This window comes from Homo sapiens, chromosome 11 (assembly GCF_000001405.40).
Source record: "Homo sapiens chromosome 11, GRCh38.p14 Primary Assembly".
NCBI lineage: Eukaryota > Metazoa > Chordata > Mammalia > Primates > Hominidae > Homo > Homo sapiens.
Genome location: NC_000011.10, coordinates 63,441,544 through 63,449,997, shown reverse-complemented (window position 1 = coordinate 63,449,997; position 8,454 = coordinate 63,441,544). Strand labels below are relative to the sequence as shown.

The 8,454-nt window shown below is 40.2% G+C and overlaps 2 annotated features.

Moving 5' to 3' along the window:
* Positions 271-1,206: an enhancer, noted in NCBI's record as "OCT4-NANOG-H3K27ac hESC enhancer chr11:63216264-63217199 (GRCh37/hg19 assembly coordinates)". NCBI's record gives its function as "activates a minimal SCP1, AML or CMV promoter by ChIP-STARR-seq in naive and primed H9 embryonic stem cells {active_cell/tissue: H9 hESC(naive and primed)}" and the evidence as "EXISTENCE:reporter gene assay evidence [ECO:0000049][PMID:30033119]".
* Positions 1,207-2,143: an enhancer, noted in NCBI's record as "OCT4-NANOG-H3K27ac hESC enhancer chr11:63215327-63216263 (GRCh37/hg19 assembly coordinates)". NCBI's record gives its function as "activates a minimal SCP1, AML or CMV promoter by ChIP-STARR-seq in primed H9 embryonic stem cells {active_cell/tissue: H9 hESC(primed)}" and the evidence as "EXISTENCE:reporter gene assay evidence [ECO:0000049][PMID:30033119]".

Genomic DNA, 8,454 nt, shown 5'->3' with positions numbered 1-8,454 from the left:
AGAACACTTGGACACAGGGAGGAGAACATCACACACCAGGGCCTGTCAGGGGGTGGGCAGAAAGGGGAGGGGGAGCATTAGGACAAATGCCTAATTCATGCAGGGCTTAAAACCTAGATGACGGGTTGATGGGTGCAGCAAACCACCATGGCACGTGTATGGCTATGTAACAAACCTGCATGTTCAGCACATGTATCCCAGAACTTGAAGTAAAAAACAACAACATGTAATTAGTGTTTTCAAAATACCTTATAGTTTACAAAATATTTCTACGTACTATTTTGTTTTCCGTTGCAAAGTTTTTACTTAAAAATGAAAGTGAAAAAAATATTCCTGGTAATTCAGCTTATTCAGTTTTCTAGGTGAAATATAAAAAGATCAATTTTTACATTTGTTTAAAAAATATTAAATTTCAACTTCAAAGCTAAAACATTTCTGAGTTTATAAAAATATGGGGGATGCTTTGTAAATGATTAATTTTTGGTACTTCAAAAAGAAGCTTTGCTTCAAAAAGAAGGGCTTTTGAAAACAAATAAGTGGATGCCACAGGTTTCCTGTCTTTTTGTCCTAATGAAAGGTGGCTGCCCCCAGCTTTGCCTGAACCCATGAGCTGTGGTCAGAGTTGGCTGTAGGTTCTGTGTTGGAAAGATGAGGAACTGTAGCCTCCACTGATTTTCCAGAGCTACACTTTTCTTTTGCAGCAGAACCCCATCTTCTGGAGTGTACCACTGAGCTGTCCAATGTGAAAAAGGGATAAAATAAATGCAGCAGCTCCGATTGAAAGCTGCAGAGGCACCTGTTAGATTGGAAGCCTTCATTGACATGCTTTGCCAACAGAGTCAGTAGGAATAAAATAATGACAACAGTGGTGACATTCAAGTGTTCCCACTGTGCCAGGCACTGTTTTGCACATTTTAGAAACAACTCGATGAGGATATTCCCTCACTCCATGGCTATGGGTTCATCTCCATTATTTCTACTATTGCAGACTTTGTGGCCCTTTTCAACAGACTCCCCCTTCAACCAGCTTTGGCGGTGCTTTAACTGAGTGAACATTTATAGAATAAGGAAACTGAAATAAAGTGCTGATTCACAATGGACCAAGAGAAAAGCAGAGGAAATGGGTAATTAAGGACCAATGATGCATCACAATAGAGACAATTTGGGCCATGGCAAAGGGCTGTGCCATCCACAGGGCTCTCTAGCAGGGGCAGAGTCAACTGCATATAATCCCACTATCAGGTGAGTAGTAGCATATATCAGTGAGTAGGATAAACTTACAAAACTGATTGTTGGCACCCTTGGGATGGTAGTTGTCTGCAGGGTATAGACACTGAGTTTTGATTACCCACATTCAATTTCTGCTTACAAGAGTGGAAGCAAGAAGGCGTGTCTTGTTTATGAGGGCTGGGGTGAGAATTCAGTCCAGGGAGGAAGTAGAAATCTGTGGAACCTCAGAAACTCCTTAGTGTTAATTAGTCTTTTGGTATTGATGTAGCACAGAGACTGCCAACTTTGTGGCTGTGGCAGAACTTGCCTGGATAGTGAAACCTATCAAGAGGGCAGCTTTAATGTCTCAGGGAGCCCAGTCTGACACAACTGTAGTGGTAGCAAACTTTACCACCATCTCAGCTGAGGGAAATATAACAAGAAATTTCTGTGTCTTGCTCAAATGCAGATGCCAAGGACTCTGTTCTTCCATACCTCTGTACCCTGTGGAGAGGGGTCCACTGCAGCCCTGAGCACATTCCCCAAAGCCCTGTCACTTCACGGGGCAACAGGAGAACAGCACTCTGATAACTGCCTATAGATCATTGATTAAACAGGGTTTTGGCGGCTCACACTTAGGACTACTGCTCTACAAGGCTGGGCTTGGAAAGGGGTGTGGGCAAGGCTCATCAGGGCTTGTCCATCAAGAACATACACCCAGACTCTTAACACAAGGAGCCTGGCAGATGTATGATATTAAGAAAAGTATAGAAAGAAAAGGGTGTGTGTGGCTTTAGTGATCTGTCTATTTCCAAATATGAGAAATGAACCTGTTAGAGGCTTCATTAGTCTAATCTCTCTAGGAATTCCCAGGGCTAACAAGTAGACCTGTGTTAGGACTCTCTTAGTTGCAAGGGACAGCAAACAAAATACCTTAAGCAAAGTGAGGAACTTCCTGGTTTAAGTGACTATCAAATCCTGGAGTAGAAAACAGTACAGATGGATTTAGGGCTTCATAACATAAGCTTCAAAATAACGTGATTGGTCAGTTCTCCAGAGCCATGTGATCATTGTGGTGAAGGAAGTGAAGGTGTCAGGTGGATGGAAACAGCACAGGACCATGGTACACCTCACAATCTTAGTTCCTTGCTCTTTTTCTTCCAACAGTACCCAGAATATGCTCTAATGAACAACAGCTGGTCCTTCTGTCTAGCTTCATGGCTGGAATTCCTTAAAGAAGTTTCGTAGTGAGACACATGGGTAGAACCTGTTAACAGATCTTCCCCTTCTCTACAGGAAATATGTGTTTTGGGGTTTTCAGTTTTTATAGTTTCATTTCAGTCCAACATTATACAGAATCTACTGACCAGGCTCCCTGCGAAACAGACTCTGAGTCTGAGGTTTGTGGGCATGAAATTTACTGGGGAAGGTGGAGGAACAGGATTGGGCAGAGGGAGAAGCTGAACTGTGATGCAGTTACAGCAAAGGCCAAGCTATGGGGAGCTCTGGAGCTGAGATGGTTGTTACAAGTCAGGGTGCCCCTTGGGTTTTGTTTCTTCAAACATGTGCATTTCCTCTTTGTCCTTCTCTGTCATATTAGGATGCAACATGAAAGCCCTTGCCAGAAGCCATGGTAAGACCCTTGAACTTGCTAACCCACAAAACTGGGTGCTAAATAAACCTCTTCTCTTTATAAATTACTTAGCCTCACATATTCTATTATAGCAACACTAAATAGACTAAGACAATCTGTCAATTATTTGTAGGGCCAGACTCAAATGGACTTAAGTCTGGCCCTCCAAGCAATTAGATGGAGACATACTGGAGACTACAACCCCTGTGTACTTTAAGCTTTTAAGGGTAGAAAAGTTGTTATTCACTAGGAACACACTGTTATTTTTGATTTACTATTTTAGGAGGGAGTGAGATACAGTTTTCTTGTGTCCACTTGACTTTTTTCACCTTGGTAGTTCTTATTCCACAGGTCAAGGACCTGTGGGTGTTCTGCACGTCATCAAGTATGGTGAATCCCATTATTCAGGAAGGAATGGGGGAATAACTCCTTTGAGGCCTTGGTTGTGATCCTCTATTATGTCACTCCCAAAACTCCTGCTTTAAAATGGCAGCATGATGACTCTTTGAGTCCCTGAATATTTATGCCACCATGAACTCTGTGCTCAGCAGTCCTCAGAATGTTTCCAGTGCATGTTCATGCAAGTAAATGGCATAGATTTCTTTGGGAAGGTCTGGAGGAATCATTTAAATATGCAATTACTCTGGTGTTTCAGAGGTCTTCCTTCTAGGGATACAACTTCTCCTTCATCCAGTGGCTTTGGGTTCTGAGACCCGGCTCTGATGTGGAAATTAAAAAAGAAACCATAATTTTTTATGGGGCAATCTGCCCTCAAATTGTTGATTATCTTTCCTGACTTCTTTTGATTGTATATAATAGTAATACTCTTGTTGGTAGCCCATCTATTTTGCACAAAGCATTGCTGTGTTTTGTTAGCCATTGCCATAGGTTTCTTTGGGTTGGTTCACTGAGAAAGAGAGTCTGAGGCAGAAATGTACATGCAGGAAGGTTTTTTTCGGGTGCTCTTAGAACCAACATTTGTAAGCATATAAGGAACACAAGACTGGGCAAAGGTAGAAGTTGAACAGTGATGCAGTTTGTGGTTTTGAAAAGAAATATATGCACTTATAGTTTAATAATCCTGTCTTTAAAAATTAGAGCTTAATTCTCTTCTACTTGAGTGTGGGCTGGATGTGGTGACTCACTTCTGAGTAACTGAACAAAACAGAAGTGATGGTGTGTGGCTTTGCAGACAGTCATAAGAAGGCAGGGTGCTCTGCCTCTTGGGTTATTTACTCCTAGGAAAGCAAGATGCCATACCATGAGGACATTCCCTGAGGACAGGCCTTTGTGGCAAGGAACTGAAGCCTTCTTCCAACAGCAGCTAGAGAGTGAGCCATCTTGAAGCAGATCCTCCAGCACCAGTCAGTCCTTTAGACAAATTCAACCCCTGCTGACACCTTGACTGCAACATCATAAAAGACCTTGAACCAGAGGTATCTGGCTAAGTTGCTTTAGGATGCTAGACCTTCAGAAACTGTGTGAGGTAAATGTTTGTGGTATAAGTGGCTAGGTATTGGGATGATTTGTTTTGCAGTGATAAGTAATTCATACATCTCTTCATACTAGGAGCAGAGTGCTATCCTAATAATATCTGCACACGTGAAAGTGGTTTGGAAGCAGGCAGTGGTCTGCAACTAGAAAGATTTTGATGAGAAAGTTATATAAAGCTTGAACAGCCTTGAAAATATTTTTAGAAGCATTATGTGATTTTTAGGCAGTTGTGAGTGAGACTTAAAGCAATGTGAAAAACATGGAAACTGGAGGAAAGGACTTCTTGTTATGAATGGCAGATGTTTAGCAATATTCTTCCATATGGTATGTGGAACGCAGAAAACATGCCTAATGAACTGGGTGTTGTTGGGGAATTTCTGGGTAAAGCACTAAAAATACAGCCTGATTTCATATTGCTGCTTAGAGTAAAATGCAAGCAAAGAGAGAAAAGAAGGAAATGTCAAACATGAATAAGTTGGGAGTTGAATGTTAAAAAAAAAACCATTGTTAAACGGAACTGGAGTTCATTATGCTAAGTGAAATAAGCCTCAGCAAGGTAAGCATCACATGTTCCCACTTATCTGTGAGATCTAAAAATCAAAACAATTGAACTCATGGAGATAGAGAGCAGAAGGAAGGTTACCAGAGGCTGGGGAATATAGTGGGAGGACTGGGGTTGTTGGGAGGTAGGGGTAGTTAATGAGTACAAAAAATGGAATGAATGAATAAGACCTAGTATTTGATAGCCCAACAGAGTGACTATAGTCAATAATAAGTTAATTGGCCTATAATCCCAGCACTTTGGGAGGACGAGGCGGGCGGATCACGAGGTCAGGAGATCGAGACCATCCCGGCTAAAACGGTGAAACCCCGTCTCTACTAAAAATACAAAAAATTAGCCGGGCGTAGTGGCGGGCGCCTGTAGTCCCAGCTCCTTGGGAGGCTGAGGCAGGAGAATGGCGTGAACCCGGGAGGCGGAGCTTGCAGTGAGCCGAGATCCCACCACTGCACTCCAGCCTGGGCGACAGAGCGAGACTCCGTCTCAAAAAAAAAAAAAAAAAAAAAAAAAAATAAGTTAACTATACATCATAAAATAACTAAAAGAGTACAACTGAATTGCTTGTAACACAAAGGATTAATGGTTGAGGGGATGAATACGTCATTCTCCATGATGTAATTATAACACATTTCATGCCTGTATCAAAACATCTTATGTACTCCATAAATATATACACCTACCATGTACCCACACAAATTTAAAAAAAACCTTTGTTAAAACATCAAAGCTGTCTTACATGATGCCCCAGATTATTACTCAGTTCAAAAGGTTCTCTAAATATTTCGATGTCATGACTCACAGATTCTTTCAATAAAAACATCACTTTTAAGAAGCTTAAGGGCATTGTTTCTTGATAGAAGCATAATGAAGAGATGGGCTTACTTGGGAAGATTTTTAGATGTCTTTTATTTAATGAGCAGACCCTCCAAAAAGATTCAAAGGAGACCCAGGAAATTTTTAATAGAATTATATCAGGAGAAACACTACCAGTTTGGACAGAAATGGACAGAGAGAGCAGGCAATGAAAACAGACCATTGGATCTTCAAACATTACTGATAAGAATCAGGCTGAGAAAACTATGTCTTCAGCTATACGTCAGTTTTAATGAAAATGAAAGGATGACTTAGAAGGCAGAACAAAGAGCTGGGAGGATGTAGCCAGGAGTCATATAGAACAACTCTTGGGGAAGATATGGATGAGTCTTAGTCATGGAACCTGCAACATTTGCCCAGCTGGGTTTCAGAACTGTTCTGGATCAATGACTTCTCTGTACTTTGCATTACATCTCTTTGAATAAAAATGTATGTGTTGGTTATACTATGCTCATCACTCCACTGTCTGAGTAATGTGTAGGGGACAGAAAGCTTATCTGTTTAGTTCACAGGTTTACAAATGGAGAGAAACTGTACTTGAGAGCCATGTTTAAGGAAGTGCATGTGAGCAGTCTCATCTTCACCTGGACCTAGTATCTGTTAATGAAATACCAGTGCCACATCCAAGGACAAATGTCAGATAGCAAATTTGAGAGGAATAGTGTCAGTAATTGGAGGATTGTAAAAACTGGAGAGGAACAAACAAAAGAAATGTGAATCTCTTGCTGACAAGGCATCCACTGATTTCCCTTTACAGATTATAACATGGAAAGTAGAAGTCCATTCAGAGGCTCTCTGAATGTGCCTATTGAAGGTCCCTGGTGCCTTTGAATGACATAATTTAGGTTGGTGACTAGTTTCTACAACTGCTGCTGTCAAACACTTGACTTATATTAGATGCTTGAGTTGGTAGTGGTAAAAGTAGGAATCTAGAACCTCTTTCATATGTTTTAGTTCCCAGCTCAGATTATAAGATTCATAAATGCAAGTGATAGATGAAGGGGTAACACTAGGCAGAATGTATATAAGAGGAAGTTATAGGAGATAGACTAGTTCACATGTTTAGAGGCATGCTGCTTGGGAATGAGTGTGGACTTTTGCAAGAGCAGCTGAAGGAGTACAGTTGGATACCTCTTTCCATAGTGATTTTTGTGCCAATTTGTCCTGTAAATCACCTGATGATACATGAATAATCTGTCCTTGTTTCAGGCACCACCTTGGTCTAGGAACCTGGTCCAGGGAACTTAATTCAATAAATTAATTAGGTCTTGTTTTATATAAGATGACTATCCAAAATTATTGATAGCTATGTTGCTTAGAGGAAGATTGTTGAAAGAGCTTCCTTTCAAGGGGCTATGAGTATGCCTGTCCTGAAGGAGCTCTAATACAATTGGGAGATATGATTTTCCATAATTTCAAATATTTCCCTTCTGACATAAAGTATAATCATCAGGTCTTAGACTGGTTTCTTTTTCTTTTATAAAATTTAATTTGAAAAAATATTATAATGCACCAGTAAATGAAAAAAAGGTCACTGGCCATCCTAATGCAGAATGATAACCAGAATGGAAGTATTAATTAGGTGCTTGAAGAATGCCTCTACCGCCCACAAGCAACTGAAAGAAAAATGGGCCACCTTCCTTCCCACAATTGAATTTTTCTACTTATGATCATTATACTTCACCACCAAATTGATACTTTACTCTTATTTATTTATTTGTTATTTATTTACATATTTATTTTTTATTATACTTTAAGTTCTGGGATACATGTACAGAACGTTCAGGTTTGTTACATAGGCATACATGTGCCATGGTGGTTTGCTGCACCCATCAACCCATTGTCTACATTAGGTATTTCTTCTAATGTTATCCCTCCCTTTGTACCCCACCCCATGACAGGCCCTGGTGTGTGATTTTCCCCTCCCTATGCCCATATGTTCTCATTGTTCAACTCCTACTGATGAGTGAAAACATGCAGTGTTTGGTTTTCTGTTCCTGTGTTAGTTTGCTGAGAATGATTGTTTCCAGCTTCATCCATGTCCCTGCAAAGGACATGAACTCATTCTTTTTTATGACTGCATAGTATTCCATGGTGTATATATGCCACATTTTCTTTATCCAGTCTAACATTTATGGGCATTTGAGTTGGTTCCAAGTCTTTGCTATTGTGAATAGTGCTGCAATAAACATACATGTACATGTGTCTTTATAGTAGAATGATTTATAATCCTTTGGGCATATACCCAGTAATGGGATAGCTGGGTCAAATGGTATTTCTGGTTCTAGATCCTTGAGGAATTGCCACGTTGTTTTCCACAATGGTTGAACTAATTTACACTCCCACCAACAGTGTAAGAATGTTCCTATTTCTCCAAATCCTCTCTGGCATCTGTTGTTTCCTGACATTTTAATGATAACCATTCTAACTGGCATGAGATGGTATCTCATTGTGGTTTTGATTCATATTTCTCCAATGACTAGTGATGATGGGCTTTTTTTCACATGTTTGTTGGCCACATAAATGTCTTCTTTTGTGAAGTGCCTGTTCATATCCTTTGCCCACTTTTTGATGAGGTTTTTTTTTTTCTTGTAAATTTGTTTAAGTTCCTTGCAGATTTTGGATATTAGCCCTTTGTCAGATGGATAGATTGCAAAAATTTTCTTCCATTCTGTAGGTTGCCTGT